This window comes from Homo sapiens, chromosome X, assembly GCF_000001405.40.
Source record: "Homo sapiens chromosome X, GRCh38.p14 Primary Assembly".
NCBI classification, from domain to species: Eukaryota; Metazoa; Chordata; class Mammalia; order Primates; family Hominidae; genus Homo; species Homo sapiens.
In genome coordinates, this window is record NC_000023.11 from 34,128,399 (window position 1) to 34,148,357 (window position 19,959).

Below are 19,959 nucleotides of genomic sequence, written 5' to 3' on the forward strand. Positions count from 1 at the left end.
GCTTGTATTTCACAAAAATGCACTGAAGAAGAGACATGGGTTGGAAATTGTTGCAGATACAATAAGACATAGTGGTGACATGAACCATGAACCTAAGTTTATGATGATGAATTTGAAGAGAAATTCTAGGCCTTGCCTTAGAAAACAACATAAAAAACCTCGTTCTTCAGGAACACAACGCCCACAGACAAACTTCACTAGAAACAGAATTTGTACATAGACAGATGTATATATCACTCCTTACTTAGATGAAATATATGCATATGTGCTTCCATTTACAGATGGACTCTTTCATCACTGAAAGAAAAAGTGCACTTCAGATCTACACTACAAATATATTTAGATACAAATTTACCTCCACCAGTGTTACATGTTATTTTTGTAAGGTAAATAAGTTACTTGATTTATTATTTTAAACTTATGAGTGCATTTTAAATTGCTATGAATGAAATGAAAATTATTTGAACTTTATCAGATATGTAAGGATATTTGATGTTGCTTGGTAGCTTTTCTCATACAGATCCTATTTTACACATGAGATTTGCCAGGGAATTGAAGCTACCTCCTATTCTGCACCTGTTTATATGATTTGGTAATAGTCTTTTGTAGTGAAGGCTTATGAACATGGTGAAATACATATATTCTATTGAGAGATATGATAAAATGGCATAACTCAAGTTTCACCTATGATTTTGATAAGTAGTTTTCAAACTTGTTTTGGGGGTTTGATGGAATCCCAAATGGGAAGATAACAATTTTACTATTAACAAGTGTTAACATTATTTTGGCTATGGACTCCAATTTTGGTTAAAAAAATAATTGTCATAATTATTTCATTACAATTTTAATATAAGAAGGATATAATTCTCCTTTTACTCAGCACATTTTTTTTTTTTTTTTTGAGACAGGGTCTTGCTCTGTCACCCAGACTGGAGTGCAGTGGCAGGATCACGGCTCATTGCAGTCTCCACCTCCTGGGCTGAAGCTATCCTCCCACCTCAGCCCCCAGGTAGCTGGGACTACAAGGTACATGCCACCACACCTGGCTAATTTTTGGATTTTTTTATAGAGACCAGGTTTCACTATGTTTCCCAGGCTGGTCTTGAACTCCTGGGCTCAAGCAATCCACCCACCTGGGCCTCCCAAAGCGGGGAGGATTACAGGCATGAGCAAATGTGCCCGACCCTATTTCTCTTTTAAAGAATAATTCTAATAATAATAATTTCTGGTTTTATGTATTTTTACAAATAATTGACATGATGATGTAATATTCACAATGCTTCAACAATGTGAAAAAGTATATGTGAATATTAATCACATAATTGATAAAATATATGAAATAATGAAGCCAAAGCAGTTCATTAAGAAATATTGATAAACATTAGGTATTGAATTTACAGATGTTGCCAAAGTTGTGCATCCACGGGGCCAGTCATCATAAATTATGATTGATGATTAAAATGAGAGCAAGAAATACCCAATTGAGTAGTAAATTGAAAACTGCCTAATCTTCTTCCGATGCCTCTACGATTTCTTTGTACTTGTAAAATATCATTGCACGTTGAATAGGAGTCTTAACAGAGTCATAAGTCCATCCCCTCCTGGCAAACAGCCTTTGAATGATGCCAGGCATTTCATAGCCCTTGCTTAGAATGAAATCCTTAAAGGCAATTGGTCCATAAAGATCGTCAAGAACGTCAGGTTCATCAGGCTTTTTAAGTAAGAGCTTGGGGTCAATCAAAGGTTCATCACTTCTTAGCTTTTTCCACAACTTAGGCTTGAGGTACCATGCTCCATACTTCATCTTCACACGCTGTGCGGTATAAGAATTCGATGGCGTGTGGAATTTCCTGCCCCAGTATTTTTCCTGTGAGAAGAATTTGTCCTCATCCTTTTCATCTAGCTCCATGCTGTACTTCAGCTCTGAGGAACACTCCTTTACTTTCTTAAACTTTTGGTCCTCATGGGTTGCTCTGTACTTGGGGGTAAAGTCAAACAGATTCCTGATGGATTCTTCATCAGCTCCCAGGTCTCCAGCCCACTTGAAGAATTCACGGAGTTTTTCCGATGTGTATCTATATTGAAGAGAGTCAGAAACGCACTCTTTTGTGCTTGGTGTATCTTCCTGAAGCAGTTCTTTTATGTAGGATGCTCGAATCTTGGGAGGCTCCGAGAATTGATGGGACTCTGGAGCTTTGGGAGGCTCCGGGTGGAGACTGGACACCCGACGACTCTTGGGAAGCTCCGGGCGGAGACTGGACACTCGACGAGTCTTGGGAGGCTCCGGACCGAGACTGGACGTCCGACGAGTCTTGGGAGGCTCCGAGCGGAGACTGGACGTCCGACGAGTCTTGGGAGGCTCCGAGCGGAGACTGGACGTCCGACGAGTCTTGGGAGGCTGCGAGTGGAGACTGGACCTCCGACGTGTCTTGGGATGTTCCGGGTGGGGATGGGACACCTGAGTCTCGGGAGGCTGCAGGCAGGGTTCCCCACAAGGGGATTTATGAGGCTCGGTGGGTTCCTTAGTTTTCTTCACCCGGGCCTCACAACGATCCCATACGTCCTTCAGCGTCCTCCCAGAATCCAGCACTTTCAGTATGTATAGTAGGAGATTGGACACCTGACTAGTGTCGGGAGGTTCCAGGCGGAGATGGCACACTCCAGTCTTGGGAGGCACTGGGTGGAGATGAGACACTTCAGTCTTGGGAGGCTCCGGGCTGAGATGGGACACTCCAGTCTTGGAAGGCTCCGCGTGGAGACTGGACCCCCGACGAGTCTTGGGAGGCGCTAGGCGGAGACGGGACACTCCAGTCTCGGAAGGCTCCGAGCGGAGACTGGACCCCCGACGAGTCTTGGAATGCTCTAGGCGGAGATGGGACTCTCCAGTCTCCGGAGGCTCCGGGCGGAGACTGGACACCGGAGTCTTGGGAGGCTCCTGGCGGAGATGGGACAGTGGAGTCTCGAAAGGCCGAGGACAGAATTTCCCACAAGGGTATTTACCAGGCTCTGTGGGTTCGTCAGTTGTCTTCTCCCGGCCCTCACAAGGAGCCCGTGCGTCTTCCAGCTTCCTCTCAGAATCCAGTTTCAGCAGCTGTCGTAGGAGACTGGATCTCCGACGAGTGATGGGAGGCCCCGGGCGGATATGGGACACTCCAGTCTCTGGAGGCTCCGGGCGGAGATGGGACACTCCAGTCTCAGGAGGCTCCGGGCGGAGACTGGACACCGGAGTCTTGGGAGGCTCCGGGCTTAGATGGGACACTCCAGTCTCGGGAGGCTCTGGGAGGAGATGGGACACCGGAGTCTCGGGAGGCTTCAGGCAGAATTCCCCACAGGGATGTTTACCAGGCTCAGTGGGTACCTCTGTTGTCTTCTCCTGGGTCTCACAACAAGCCCAAGCGTCCTCCAGCTCCCTCTCAGGATCCAGGTGTTTCAGCACCTGTAGTAGGAGATCTGGAGGCATATCTTCTCCCAGATTGGGGTACATGGCCAAGGGATGCTTGGCCATTAGCTGGGCTTCCACTTGCTCTACGAACGCCTTCCGTGCTAGCTGGGCTGGAGAGAGCTTGGAAAATAGGGCCGCTTTCTTGAGCAGCTTTTTCTGCCCGCTTTTGGGGTCAGCTTGGGGACCTCTGAGAGATATTTTGGGGAGTAAAAACTCGTCACGGCGACAAACGAGAGTATCTTCGGGAGACGGACAGCCGTAGCGGAAGTCGTCCATGCCCTCCTTCACAAATACCCAGTTCTGGGTGTCCATGGGTGGGAACCTCAGGCGCCTGTGCTTGCACTTCGCGAAGCACTTGGAAGGCCGTTTGTTACAGTACCAGGGCTTGGAGTCCATGCCCGGGGACCTCAGCCAGTCCTGCAGCCTCTGGTCCCCCATGGTGGCCCTCGCTGTGGTGCCACGTCTCCAGCTTCTGAGGTCCCAGATCCCTGCCGCTCTAGTCGCTAGGAGACCGCCAGCCACGCGCAGCCCAGGTTCCTTCCTGGAGGCGGAGCAGCGCTGACGCCACCTGCGCAGCCCAGATTCTAACAGGTGTGTAGTGGAATCTCATTCCGGGTTTCATTTGCGTTTCCTAATGACTACTGATATTGAACATCTCTATATTTGCTTATTTGCCATCCTTATCTCTCCTTGGTTGAAGTTTCTGTGGATTTTTTCCCCATTTTTAAATTGTGTTTCTGGATATCATATTTAGTTTTGAGAATACTTGCTGTGTTCTAGATGTAAATAGGTTATCGGATATATGATTTGCAAATTTTTCACTTCATCCTTGGCTTTTCCCTTTCATTGTCTTAACAGTGTCAAAGAGAAGTTTTTTTAATTTGATGAAGTCCAATTTATCAGTTTGTTCTTTTATGGATTGTGCTTCTTTTGATGTATCTATGAAAACTTGGCCTATCCAAAGGTCAAGGTTTTAATTTTTGTAAACAGCACAAGATATAGATCAAAGTTTTTATTTAAAAATGTACCTATTGCTTACATATATCTGATAATTTTAGAACTATTTTTGTAAAGACTAAATTTTTCTCCGCTGAATTACATTTGGAAATTGGTAGAATATCAGTTGTGTATGTTTTTTGAAGGTCAATTTCTGGACACTCTTTTCTCTTCCATTGATTTTTCTCTCACACAAATTTCCCATTCTGTTGGTTACTTTAGCTTTATAATAAATCTAGAAATTAGGCTGTATTAGTCCTTTAACAATGTTCTTTTACAAAGTTAGTTTTTCCTAGGTCCTTTGAATTTCTATAGAAATTTTAAAGTCAGTTTGTCAACGTCAAAAAAAAAAAAAAGTCCTGTTGGGAATTTGATTAGGATTTTGTTGAATCTATAGATCAATTTGAGGATAATTGGCATGTTAACAATAGGAAATCTGACCACTGAGAAATGTACAGCTTTCTATTTGTTTACGTGATTTTTCATTTTCTCAGGAATATTGTGTGTTTTTTAGTGTATGTGCCTTTCACATCTTTTTCTCTCCAGATTTTTCCTAAATATTGTTTTTCATACTATTATATGTAGTATTTTTAGTTGCAATTTCCAATTTTTTGTTGTTAGCATATATAAATATTGATGTTTGTATATCCATTGGTATCATACAACCTTGGAAAATTCACTCATTATGTTCAGAAGCATTTTTGTATATTTCATTGAATTTTCTATATATATGATAGTGTCATCTGTGAATAAAGACAGTTTCCCTTCTTCCTTTCCAATCTGAATATCGTTATACCTCCACCAGTCCAGTTGCAACCCTTCATTTTCCTTTAAATAATATCAGTTAAATTTTTATCTCTCTTATAGTGCTTAAAACAACGCTATGAAAAGCATTTTTATAAAAAATTTTAATTATAGACAAATTCAGCCTGCATTATTCCTTAAGCATACCATTTTCTCATCACATAATAATTTTTTCTGTACATTCTTACTCATTTTTAAAAGAAGGTTTCTTACTTCCCTTGTTAGGTGCAGCTGAACAATGTTTTCTACCATTACAAGCAGGTATACCCTAGTTCCTCCTTGTAAATGAGGTACGATCAATGCCTCTCTTGGTTTTGGCTCCTCCTCTGTAAAATAGACACAATATATATTCCTCTTAGGTTTCTCATTAAATCAAAGAACTAGATTATGTGTAAATCAAAATAATCTATATAACATGACTTTGTATAGTGTCTGGAACAGAATAAGCATCCTCTAAAATCTTGTTAATTTATATGGTATTACTACAGTTTGAAAATAAAAATATTCTACATTTGATGTCTATATAAAGGAAAAGCAACATCGTACATTTACATATCACAAATATTTTCATTTATTGATTATAAGAATCTATGTTAAAGTCTCAAGGTATTTAGTAGATTTCATAATGTGATGTTGGTAAGACCAAATTTGATATGGATTTATTTTTAACTTTCTTTTTTTTTTTCCTTTTTTATTTTTATTATACTTTAAGTTCTAGGGTACATGTGCACAACGTGCAGGTTTCTTACATATGTATACATGTGCCATGTTGCTGTGCTGCACCCATTAACTCGTCATTTACATTAGGTATATCTCCTAATGCTATCCCTCCCCCATCCCCCCACTCCATGACAGGCCACCGTGTGTGATGTTTCCCTTCCTGTGTCCAAGTGTTTGCATTGTTCAGTTCCCATCTATGAGTGAGAACATGCGGTGTTTGGTTTTTTGTCCTTGTGATAGTTTGCTGAGAATGATGGTTTCCAGCTTCATCCATGTCCCTACAAAGGACATTAACTCATCCTTTGTTATGACTGCATAGTATTCTATGGTGTATATGTGCCACATTTTCTTAATCCAGTCTATCTTTGATGGACATTTGGGTTGGTTCCAAGTCTTTGGTATTGTGAATAGTGCCGCAATGAACATACGTGTGCATGTGTCTTTATAGCAGCATGATTTATAATCCTTTGGGTATATACCCAGCAATGAGATGGCTGGGTCAAATGGTATTTCTAGTTCTAGATCCTTGAGGAATCACCACACTGTCTTCCACAATGGTTGAACTAGTTTACAGTCCCACCAACAATGTAAAAGTGTTCCTATTTCTCCACATCCTCTCCAGCACCTGTTGTTTCCTGACTTTTGAATGATCGCCATTCTACCTGGTGTGAGATGGTATCTCATTGTGGTTTTGATTTGCATTTCTCTGATGGCCAGTGATGATGAGCATTTTTTCATGTGTCTTTTGGCTGCATAAATGTCTTCCTTTGAGAAGTGTCTGTTCCTATCCTTTGCCCACTTTTTGATGGGGTTGTTTGTTTTTTTCTTATAAATTTGTTTGAGTTCTTTGTAGATTCTGGATATTAGCCCTTTGTCAGATGAGTAGATTGCAAACATTTTCTCCCATTCTGTAGGTTGCCTGTTCACTCTGATGGTAGTTTCTTTTGCTGTGCAGAAGCTCTTTAGTTTAATAGAAAAATTCCATGGACTGTATGTTACATTCAAGAGCCAATGCTTCAACAATTCTCTATAACAATACTCTAACTAGCAAGCTCATGTGAGTACTCACTTATCTAAAATGCATGAGAGTTTGAAAAAGTCTTCTATATTCCAAATAATCCCAGAAAAAAACATGTATTTAATCTCCTAAAGTTCAATTGCGCCTATATAAAATTTTTCATGTGACTGTTCATTAAAACAGTTTTTGTTCCTTAAAGCCACTTCATTTTTTTCACTTTTCACAGTAGAATATTATACAAGGGACTCACATCTAGAATACATAAATAATTCTTAAAACTTAATAAGAAAACAAAGAACAGAAAACAAAAAATGTATAATACACAGTAGTTTAACATATAGAGGTATATAGCTAAAGAAATAATTATAGATGTGTGTACATATTGGTTAGTATACATGCTTATGTTTTATAGCTCTGTCTCTGCTGAGAAACTAGAAAAAAATGACACCCAAGTAACAAGTACATCCAGTGCCCAAATCTTGGTTTCTAAATACCATTCTCTAAAATAACAAAAGCAAAACAAAACAGAGATATCCTTGGAGAAATGAGTAATTCTAGGCCTGGGGCAGTGAAAACACAAGATTAGCCTGGAGTATTATGTAATGCCAGAAAATATGGAAGTTCTCAGAAAACAAAAGAATAGAAGCAGATCAGGAGCCAAACTGAAAGGGCACTCAATGGCCAAAGTTAAAACAATTTAGGCAACAAAATGAATTAAAATTTAAAAATTATAACACAATATAAAATAAAATATCCATGAGTCCATACTGATATAAATAATTGTACAAATAAATAAATGAGGAAAAAGGTACAAATATTTTTACAAAGAATTTCAGAAAATGTACAGGGATACTCCTCCCTTCAGGAGGTGGAAGTTAATTGTCCTCCCCAGGGTGTGAGCTGGATTCTAAACAGTAAAATATGGAATGGGAAAAAATAGTGACCTTTTAGTGGAGAAGCCTGGCGGTTCTCTCCTTAAGCAAGTGATCAATGTTAATATCAGCAGTGAGAGGTCGCATTGGTATCATGCACTTCTCTGATAGGATGTGATGAGAAAGACACTTCACTTCTGTAGTATTCTCCCCTAAATTCCGGAATCCTAGTCTAATGAGGAGAAAACATCTAACAAACTCAAGTCCAGGGACATTTTACAAAGTTCTCAAGTACTCCTCAAAACCATAAAGGTCATGGGAAACAAGTAAAGACTGAGAACCGGTCATAGACTTTAGATTAAAGAGACAGGAAAACTAAATTCAATGTGGCAGGCTGGGTTGGATCCTGGCACTGAAAAAGGACATGGGCGTAAAAAATCTCCAAATCTGAATTAAGTCTGAAGTTTAGTTAATAGTAATATTTCAATGTTAATTTTTTAGTTTAAATGCATGTACAATGTAAGATATTAATTTTAGGGGAAGCTGAGTGAAATGTGCATGAAAATGCTTTGTACAGCCTTTGCAAATGTTTCATAAATCTGAAATTATTCTAAAATAAAAGGTTTCCATTTTAAACAATAGATTGCATCATGATGAATTATCAACAAATCACTATTAATCATACAAGAGAGAAAGCTGTAGCTTCTTTAAAATGCATACTTGTTGTCCCCCCCGCATATACAGTAAATCATATTTTTTTTCTAAGTGGAGCCAGTAATCTACATTTCACATGGTCTTTAAATTATACACACCAATATGTAAGAGTTACTTTTCTAAAGCCCTTTGCCTTTTATAGGTCCCAAAGACTTTCAAAGAGATTAAAAACCACAGTAGTAATGGTATCATCCAAAGTAACCAAATTTGGGGAAAATGAAATTTCTGCATATACTAGATGGAGCCTGAGAACGGAATAATTCCCTTAGGTAACATGCACATACCTGGTGGGCCCACAGGTTAATGAAGTCATGATAGAAGAGTAAAGAAGATACAAAGTTTGGTGACTGACAGTGAAAAAAAAAAAAAAAAACTAGGAGTGAAAGCAACTTACTCGTGCAAACTGCCCTTCTTGAGTTGAAGAAAACTGACATCACTGTAGAGTGCAGAGAAATTACAACTGGCCTGTTCAGTCAAGAAGCACCAACTGCCTTAGTATGAAGTGTTACTCCAGAAATGAATAGTGTAGCTGACAAGCAAAACCAACACCAACAAGCTAATAAAGAAATGTTCAAGCAAGTCAAAATGCTCTGAGTGGAGCAGCATGTAATGAATAAGCAAACAAGGGAATGAGAACAAACAATGAAAATCAATGCGATGAAGTGCATTGGTTTAATGGAGCCTAAGTATTCCCAGTTCTGACATCTTTGTGTGCCTCTGACTGCTCTTAGTTACCTACAACCTTTACTGCATACTTAACTCAGGACACCATTTTCATGCTCCAGCAGACTCCAGTTATCTGCAACCTTGCTGTCTCTTCCACCCACACGCGGCACCTGCCAGCCTTTCTCAGATACCCAATCTTGTTCACTCTGATCCAACCGTCTTTGGAATTCTTTTGTTTTCATTAGCTCTTGCTAAGTTTGCTTTCTGTGATGGTTGATTTTCTGTGTCAACATGGCTAGGCTATGGTGCCCAAATATTTGGTCAAACAGTCTAGATGTTGCTGTGAAGGTATTTTTTGGATGTGATTTAACATTTTATATAGTAGATTTTGAGTAAATCAGATTTACCCTCCATAGGAGGCGTGAGCATCATCCAATCAGTTGAAGGCTTTCAGGAAAAACACAAAATTCTCCAAAGAAGATGGAATTCTCCCTCCAGACTGAAACACAGGAATCTGTTTGAGTTTCCAGCCATCGGAATCAGGACTGCAACATCAACTTTTGCCTGAATTTCTAACCCACAACCAGCTCTACAGACTTCGGATTTGCCAACCCCCGCAGTCACGTGAATGAATTCCTTTAAATTTCCCTCTCTCTCTCTCTCTCTCTATGTATATATATATATAATATATAAATTATATATATTATATATATTTATATATAGGATAATAGGAAATAGTTGAATATATAGAATATAGAAATAATAGGATATATTTCCTATTATATAATATATGTAATAGGATATATAATATATAATGCATAATAGGATATATATATTATATAATAGGAAATAATAGGATATATATTATATATTAGATATTTATATATAATATATAGGATATATATTATATATTATATATTTATATATAATATATAGGATATATATAATATATATATCCTATTATTTCTATATTCTATGTATTCAACTATTTCCTATTATCCTATATGTCACCCTCCGCTCGCTCGCTCTCTCTACATATATGTAAAATAATAGGAGATATGTATAACTCCTATTATTTTCTTATCTTTCTGGAGAAATCTGATGAATACACTATTCATTTTGATCATTTTTCTACCAGTAACAATGTACTTGTCTTATAATGAGACACACTGCAGCAATTTTACCACTGCTACACCCACTGATAGTTTTTCTCAGCAAGGTATAAAATATAGTTAAGGCCTAAGAAATAATAGACTTAAAGATTTCCATTTTGTTCTTTGAATAAAAATGCATAGAAGAATTATTCCATACCTTGGCTGAATTATCAGAATCACTTGTGGCACATCTTAAAAGTATATATGCCAAGGCTCTGCCCTGAGCTTGCTGAATCAAAATTCCTCCCATTGATAATGATTCACAGTCAAGGGCTGAAATCCCTGGATACATAGTAATTTGATCACAGTATCTCAGACAGGATATAGTCCAGCTCTACTGATATTAATAAAGAACTTGAGGCGAAAAGAGAACAAATGAATTACACAAGTTCTCAAAAAGTAAAAATGAACAATGTCAGGCTAGTATTTTTATATTTCTAGAAGATTCACTCTATTTCCTTGTATAGATCAATTATACAAAAATATGACAGTATTCCTGTCTCCTTGCATGCATATGTATCACCTGGTCCATTCAATTCACAAATATAAATAGAATGTAATATTTAGAAAATAATCGAGCAGACGCAGCTCTGTTTTATAAGGTGGTTCAGCTACAAATGAAATTATCTAGTATATAATTAGAGGACAACAAATGGCTAAAATCTTCGCAATTTTGTTTATGGTTAAAGTAATAAAACTTTGAGGACAGGTAAATGTTACTGTGTCATATCCTCTGATTTAATCAAAAAACACTGGTCTCACTTTCCTATTGATGGAATTTTGGTAGATGCATTCAACAAGCTGTCATAAATCTTAGCTTATTTCCTAGTAGCTAGCAAAAAAAAAAAATCCAGAATCGCTTCATATCATGGGTGTGAATAATGTAGAATAATCAATAATCTTGGTTGTCCACGAGTGCTGTCTTAATCTTATTCTTTGGCTTCGAATGCAACATTTGCGTCTTTTACAGAATTCAAAATTTACAGAGTATTGTACACATACACACATGACCAGCTAAAAGCCATGTTCTCAGTAGTGTCCACTTTACCTGGCTAATGTCCAACGTGTGACGAGCAGGCAAAAATATGCAATATTAGTATTATTTACAGACAGATTGTTACAATTTTAACCGCAATTTTGAAATACGGGCTGTTAATTCTATGTTAAAACCACAGCTCTTAAAAATAACATGCATATACACACATATATTCATACCACAATTCACATAAAGGTCCAAAGTTTAGCTAGTTTTAACGTTAGTGATCAAAGCCTAATATGTATAGGCAAATGTATGTACACAATACACGTGTGAACACACCACAGTTTTCTAAGATATTATTGAACCTGTAACAAAGTGTTGAGTTGTGATTTTATAAAAATAGTTCTATTATATTATTACCTTTGTGCTCATCTGACACAACAGTACTCCTTCAAAGAGTCTGAAGGGTATGCTACATCAGCCAGCTATGTAACAGCCTTATAATGCCAAGTGTCCTGTACAGAGGTTTACTCCAATGAACTGGCTTAATTTAGAATGTAATCTAACCAATTATATTTAATAGCATGGCTAGGAAAATCAGCCCCATAGTCTAAAAACCGGTGTCTCCGGGAAAAAAGGAAGTGGACTTTCCTTTTATGTTCTACCTCTTAGAAGGTATAGGAATCACAATATTCTATGCAAAACCAGAGATATTCGCTACCTCTGATCCTTTCCTTTGCTCCTTTTACATTTATAACAAATGAATAAGCTGAACGTGATTTTTCATTTTGTAGCTGCAATCTCTGTAGACAAACTGATCAACTGAAATACTTACACTGATTTGATCAACATATTTATCAATGAATAAGGATTTAGGAAGTTATTTTCATGATTTGGACAGTTGTGCACCTGGATTCATTTAGAAACTATTGTCTTTTTCTAAATGTTAGAGATGTTTAATGTGGGGAAGAAAAACTTAAGGAAGGAGACCCACATGGAGGAAATTGCATTTTTCTCTATAGCATAATTCAGGGATACATTGGATTACAGGCCAGAGTGATGATTTGGAAGGAACTAAAAGCACTGATATTTGATAGAGACCTGGTGAACTAAGGAAGCAATTCTAAATAGATTATTTTGGATGTGAAACAGATATTTCCAGTCATCATTGCAGTTTTTAGTCCTTGACAGTGATTTAAGGTCTGAGGAATGCTAAGCAATGTTGCAACACCTGCATGTACATATGCCCTGCACAATCATATGCCCTGCTACCAGTAGCTGCTCTCAGCACAGCTTTCCTCTTTCACCCCAAGCCAAGGAATTTGCCATACCTGCAGGCAGTCAAAGTGAAGAGGGTTGCCTTTTAAGAATTATTTTTCATAGTTCCCTTCTCAATTTTCAGTTTCAACAGCCTCTTCCCATTCAAATTGTCTGCGTTTGCCTCACCTTCCTTCTCAAACCACCAGTTCCTTTACAATGCATCTTCAACTTAGGTTATATAAAGAAATGCTAGGCTTTGTCTTTGCACACAAATTCCTCTTTGAGTATACCTATGCTGTATAAATTCATATTACTGCTTGAGTATACATATGCTGTATAAATTTGTATTACTGCCATTCGTTTCAAGAATCACCTCTTTCCTGGCAGGAGAAAATCAATAGATAAGATTACTAATGAGACTGGAGTCCTACTGCCTCCAGCACTTAGCAGATTATGAATAAGCCTTTCCTCATGGATTGTTTGTCATGTAAGAAAGCATAACTGAATAGCACCGTACACATAAGCAAAAGTGAAATGTTAATAATATTTCTACCTAAAGTGTATCATATTAATTCATATTAAAATAAATGAGATTTACAATCATATTGGCAGGAATCTACTAAAAGTAATATACTTTCTAGAAATTTGAAACTCCCTAAATAGATGTAACTGTCCTTGAATATTAAAAGACGTACTGGGAAAATGGCAAAAGACTCCAAGAAACCAAGTCAAAATCATATTGTTTATTTTTCATGTATGAACAAGAATTGAAGAATGAAAAGCTCAGAAGGAAGGTAATAAATGTAAATAATACATAGGAAACATTTTACAAAACTTTTACTTTTGTAAATTGTGCGTTTCACTGAGTTTTAACATTAGTTGGTTAAAGTCCTTATCATATTTTTATGAAAGGTGAAGTCAACAAATAAACCATTGAGAATGTGGAAGAAAAGTTCAGAAAATTAAAAACTCAGAGGCCATTACTCATGTCAACTTATAAAAATAATGATCACATTAAACATAACTTACTCTCTTAACATACTGGGTTAATATCGTAGTAGCTTATGGAATCATAGGGAAAGGTTTTGCAAGGATTATGCTTTTCTCCTAGCATGTTAGGAAAAATTTACACTGGATTTTGGTGAAGCAAAATATGTATACTTTCAACCAAGATATTCCGGGTCTTTAGGCTAAGTAACATAATTACATCAAATCTATTTTTCCATAAAATTTACCACTATATGTAGGAGAAGATATAAGAACTTCTGTAGCAATTTCTGTGTTTGTGACAATAGAAGTAAAAATAGCAAAGAAAATATTATTGAATATATTTTAATAATTTAAAGTAAATATATTAGCACATATTTTATAGATTATCAATTTATTAGCAACTAACATATTTATTCATCCTATATATAGGATCAGTTATATATATATATATATATATATATAGAGAGAGAGAGAGAGAGAGAGAGAGAGAGAGAGAGAGAGAGAGAGAGAGACAATGGACATATATATTTTCTTTTTTTTAAATTTTATTTATTTGCTTTAAGTTCTGGAATACATGTGCTGAACGTGCAGGTTTGTTACATACGTATACATGTGCCACGGTGGTTTGCTGCACCTATCAACCCATCATCTAGGTTTTAAGCTATGCATGCATTGGGTATTTGTCCTAATGCTCTCCCTCACCTTTCCCCCTACCCTCTGACAGGCCCTGTTGTGTGATGTTCCCCTCCCTGTGTCCATGTGTTCTCATTGTTCAACTCCCACTTATGAGTGAGAACACGCAGTGTTTGGTTTTCTGTTCCTGTGTTAGTTTGCTGAGGATAGTGGTTTCCATCTTCATCCATACCCCTGCAAAGGACATGAATTCATTCTTTTTTATGGCTGCATAGCGTTCCATGATGTATATGTGCCACATTTTCTTTATCCAGTCTATCATTGATGGGTATTTGGGTTGGTTCCAAGTATTTGCTATCATAACTAGTGCTGCAATAAACATACATGTGCATGTGTCTTTATAGTAGAATTATTTACATTCCTTTGGGTATGTACCCAGTAATGGGATTGCTGTGTCAAATGGTATTTCTGGTTCTAGATCCTTGAGGAATCACCACACTGTCTTCCACAATGTTTGAACTAGTTTACACTCCCACCAGCAGTGTAAAAGCATTCTTATTTCTCCACATCCTCGCCATCATCTGTTGTTTCCAGACTTTTTAATGATCGCCATTCTAACTGGCGTGAGATGGTATCTCATTGTGGTTTTGATTTGCATTTCTCTAATGACCAGTGATAATGAGCTTGTTTTCATGTTTGGTGGCCGCATAAATGTCTTCTTTTGAGAAGTGTCTGTTCATATCCTTCGCCCACTTTTCGATGGGGTTGTTTTTATCTTGTAAATTTGTTTAAGTTCCTTATAAATTCTGGATATTAGCCCTTTGTCAGATGGATTGATTGCAAAAATGTTCTCCCATTCTGTAGGTTGCCTGTTCACTCTGGTGATAATTTCTTTTGCTGTGCAGAAGCTCTCTAGTTATTTAGATCCCATTTGTCAATTTTGGGTTTTGTAGCAATTGCTTTTGGTGTTTTAGTCATGAAGTCTTTGCCCATGCCTATGTCCTGAATGGTATTGCCTAGCTTTTATTCTAGGGTTTTTATGGTTTTAGATTTTATGTTTAAGTCTTTAATCCATCTTGAGTTGATTTTTGTGTAAAGTGTAAGGAAGGGGTCCAGTTTCTGTTTTTTGCGTATGGGTAGCCAGGTTTCCCAGCACCATTTATTAAATAGGGAATCCTTTCCCTATTGCTTTTGTCAGATGTGTATATATATATATATATATATATATATATATATATATATATATATATCTGTCATATATATATATCTGTCATATATATATCTGACATATATATCTGTCATATATATATCTGTCATATATATGTCATATATATATCTGTCATATATATATATCTGTCATATATATATATCTGTCATATATATATCTGTCATACATAAATATATATATCTGTCATATATATATATATATATATATATATATATATATATTCTATTGGCAAAGAAAATGAACCAAAACAGGCTCCTGGGCCCATGAGATTAAAGCCAATGTCTGTTGCAATCATTTGGCATTTAGCACAAAGACTAAGATACATTAAGTCCTCAAAAAATAATTATTGAATACCAGATGTGTTCATGCCATTAAAATTCAGTATGCTATATCTGTATTTGATAATCCCATAGATCTTTTCTTGTGTTACATCTAAATGAAAAATTACTCTAAGCATTTTCAGGATTATCTCGATCTCTTTACAGTTCAATACAGCCACAAAAATTCAGTGTTCTTATTTGGATGTGTGTTTTCAATCCTGCTAAGTGAGATTGCTGCCAGATGGCATTTCTTAGTGTAAAAATGAAGTTGTCTCATGTTCACCCATATGGTCATGTTGGCTTATTTTACCAGCTGCAAAGTGATGATTAGGAAAGGAATAATATATTAACAGAAGGAAACTGCAGCACCTTCAGTTATTGAAGTTCTCGAGACTCTTTATTGTAATTTATGAAAGAAATCAAACTTCATCAGAATAAAGTATCACTTTACGTTTCACAACTTCATAAAAAAGAACTTGACTGGACAATATTTAAAGGATGGCTTACATTTCCTGAAAGAAAAATTACATTATGAATCATTATGTAAAATAAGGTGTGTCAAACATTTCAGTAAAAAAGAGTGCTCAAGAATGAAGATACTCCAAGTATATCAGGGTATATAGGCATGGCACATTCAAAAGAAAACTTGCACCACAGAAACTAGGTCTATTCTCAGCGAGAAGTGATTGTGTTTAAGACAAAAAACACAATGTGAAATACAATAGAAATTTCTTAGTTTTTACTTTTACAGTTTTATTTCTAATACTTATAAATTGTTTATTTTACAGGTATAAAAACATACCTTTAAGCATACACATTTTTATACTAGTTTTATCTCAGTGAATATTAAAATTATAAGAATTTCTCAACATTGAGTGTCACTGATTCTTTTTTCTTCCAAAGGAAACACTGTTTAAATAAATAATCAACGTCCACTGCCACTCATTGTTTAAATTTGGAGAAATAATAAGACTAAAACTTTTAACAGGCTGATCAATCCTTTAAATAATATTTTTGAACCCTTACTATGTGGAATTGATCATTGAGCCAATTACACACAGTCTTTGTCCTAGAGGAGTTCATGGTCCTGCAAAACTTTCCAAACTACGTAGGGAGGAATACAACTAAGAGTGTCACTGTCTGCTATTTACAAGTTGTGAGCTCAAAAGATGTGGAAACAATCTAAATGTCCATCAACAGAGGCACGGAAAAAGAAAACGTGGGATATACATACAATAAATTACCATTCAGCCTTTAAAAAGAAAAAATTCCACATATAGATGAACCTGGAAGACATTATGCCAAATGATTGCAACGGATTGCTAAGCGACATAAACCAGTAATGAAAAAGATAAACACTGCATGATTCCACTTATATGGGGTATCAAAAATAGTCAAATTCATAGAATCAAGGAATAGAATGATGGTTGCCAAGGGCTGGGGGAGAAGGCAACGGGAGTTACTAATCCATGGTTACAAGGTTTCCATTGATCAAGATGAATAAACTTTACCAGTGTGGTGGTACCCAGCTACTCGGGAGGCTGAGGCACGAGAATCACTTGAACCTGGGGAGGTGGAGGGTGCAGTGAGCCAAGATGGGGCCACTGCACTCCAGCCTGGGCAACAGAGTGAGACTCTGTCTCAAAAACAAAAAACGAAGAAAATGAAACAAACAAACAAAAAACCAAAGGGAGGGAAACAAAGAAAAAAGAAAAAAAATGAACTCTTAAAATCTGCAGCACATCATTGCAACTATCATACTCTACTGTCTATCATACTCTACTGTGCACTAAAAAATATGTTAGAGTAGGTCTCATGTTAAGTGTTCATACCAGTAAAATTTTAAAAAGTGTGTTTTAGTATGTTACAAATGCTCTAATTCACAATTTATTTATCTGTAAGATATGGGTGATAATAATAAAAATTAATTCAGAATGTTTCTGTGATAATGAAATAATTAATATAGAGTGAACAGCCCAGAGACAGGTAATACTGGTTTTGGATTGATGCACCACTTTCACTACTCTCATTAAAAAGTGATTTTGTTTATTCATATGCATATATACACAGATATGTAAATATATGCACACACATACACACACACACACACACACACACACACACACACACAGAGAGAGAAAGAGAAAGAGATAAGCCACCAACTACTTATGGTCCACTTCCTTATGAGTACATCATGGCGTCTACTGCGTGTATTACTATAGACGCATTCAAAAGAAAACTTGCACCACAAGAAGGGATGATGCAGAACGTTGAATATTGCTCAGCTACAAAAAAAAGAAAGTACGAGGAATATTTAGAACAAGTTTTTATATTAGTATCTGTAAAAATATCTGGTAACTAATAGGTACTCAGTAGAAATGTATTGAATGCGTAGATGAGAGCTAATCACTGACACTGAGCCAGAACGTGTTTTGTCTTATCAATTGTGTAACTGTTTTTTAAATGATGAAGATAAGTGAAAGTCCAAACAAAGAGTTTTCACAGATTATAATACTAGAAATTGTATCTGTTCACTCTGGACTTATCATGAATAATACTGTGAGTTAATTTTATGTTTCAACTTCACTGGGTCTCAGAGTGCCCAAATACTTGGTCAAACACTATTCTGGCTGTGCCTTTGAGGATGAATTAGGATGAGATTAGCATTTAAATCAGACTGAGTAAAGATGATAGCCCTCCCTAATGTGGGTGGGCTTCATTGAATCAACTGAAGTCCTACATGGAACATATCTCGGCCCCTGCGGAGCGCGACCCACCCCCCAGAAGCGGTTCCACTGCCCACTTCCGGTCCTGTCACAGACTCAGCGACTGCCAGCGACCGCTGACCGCCCCGCTATGGCAAGTGCGCCAAAACTACCACCCCGACTGCGACGCCGCCGTCAACAGCCACGTCAACCTGGAGCTCCACGCCTCCTGTGTGTACCTGTCCATGGCCTTCTACTTAGACCGGGACGACGTGACCCTGGAGCGTTTCAGCCGCTGCTTCCTGAGCCAGTCGCAAGAGAAGAGGGAGCACGCCCAGAAGCTGATAATGCTGCAGAACCTGCGCGGTGGCCGCATCTGCCTTCCTGACATCTGGAAACCAGAGCGTGAATACTGGGAGAGTGGGCTCCAGGCCATGGAGTGTGCCTTCCACCTGGAGGAGAGTGTCAACTACAGCCTCCTGGAGCTGCACTACCTGGCCATGGAGAAGGGTGACCCCCAGCTGTGCGACTTCCTGGAGAGCCACTTCCTGAACCAGCAGGTCAAGGCCATCAAAGAGCTGAGTGGCTACCTGAGCAACCTGCGCAAGATGTGGGCCACGGGAAACCGGCCTGGCAGAGTACCTGTGTGACAAGCTCACCCTGGGCCGCAGTGGGGAGGAGCCCTGAGCCCAGATGGGCCCCACAGCCACGGGGTGCCTTCACCGGGTTGGGCCGCCAGACAGGGTGGGCATGTTGCCCTTCCAGAACGTTCTCTTCAGTTTTTTCCTTTCAGTTTTACCATTGTTGGCAATACAGTTATCTGGTTTTCAAAGCAATAAAGGTGTCCAGTTGATGCGTGCCTGCAAAACTCTCACTATTTAGGAATAAAGGCACATCCTCACACAAGTTTAAAGTTGATATCCAGCAGTCTCTCCACCCAGCCCTGCCCCATCTGCATGCAGCTCAGGATCTCCAAGGTTGGAGGAGGAAGGTATTCCATGGGGCCCTGGAAAGCACATTAGTCTTCCCTTTATAAACTACGTGGATATATGGAGTGGGATGGGGTGGGATGGGCAGTCTTGGGCCCTGGTGTCTGGGGGTGCTTGGGCATCGTAAAGTGTGAAACACGGTCCGGAATTCATCCCCACCTCTGGGGAAGAAGTGAGGGGAATGAGATTGGGCAGGGATTAAAATACACAAAGAGGTCTTCATCTTGACATGAAAACTTTTGTTTCTTAAATATGAAAATGTTAACATTTGTTGATTCTAGGTAGCAAGCTGGGGATCCTGGAAGATGGCATGACAGAGTACTCTCTGACAAACTCACGCTGAGTGACAGTGACTTAATGGGAATGGGCTGGTTTCTCCATAGACTTCGTAGTAAATCCCTATAGTCACCATTGCTGGGCATCTGTACTATTTCTTCCAATAAAGTCGTTACATATACATATATATTAT

The 19,959-nt window shown here is 37.9% G+C and overlaps 1 protein-coding gene and 1 pseudogene across 1 annotated transcript, besides 2 other annotated features; one reads left to right on the forward strand and one right to left on the reverse strand.

Moving 5' to 3' along the window:
- Positions 1,354–3,916, reverse strand: FAM47A (family with sequence similarity 47 member A). The gene has a single exon (NM_203408.4). The coding sequence runs from the start codon at positions 3,878–3,880 to the stop codon at positions 1,505–1,507; it is 2,376 nt and encodes a 791-aa protein (NP_981953.2). The 5' UTR covers positions 3,881–3,916; the 3' UTR covers positions 1,354–1,504.
- Positions 18,563–19,103: an enhancer, noted in NCBI's record as "H3K4me1 hESC enhancer chrX:34165078-34165618 (GRCh37/hg19 assembly coordinates)". NCBI's record gives its function as "activates a minimal SCP1, AML or CMV promoter by ChIP-STARR-seq in naive H9 embryonic stem cells {active_cell/tissue: H9 hESC(naive)}" and the evidence as "EXISTENCE:reporter gene assay evidence [ECO:0000049][PMID:30033119]".
- FTH1P14 (ferritin heavy chain 1 pseudogene 14) lies at positions 18,642–19,355 on the forward strand (annotated as a pseudogene).
- Positions 19,117–19,280: a silencer, noted in NCBI's record as "fragment chrX:34165632-34165795 (GRCh37/hg19 assembly coordinates)". NCBI's record gives its function as "represses an EF-1alpha promoter that drives an FKBP-Casp9 reporter gene in an ReSE screen in K562 erythroleukemia cells {active_cell/tissue: K562}" and the evidence as "EXISTENCE:reporter gene assay evidence [ECO:0000049][PMID:32094911]".

What these genes read in the sequence shown, in the direction of transcription:
- FAM47A (NM_203408.4), bottom strand. Translation starts at nt 3,880, where the DNA reads ATGGGGGACCAGAGGCTGCAGGACTGGCTGAGGTCCCCGGGCATGGAC.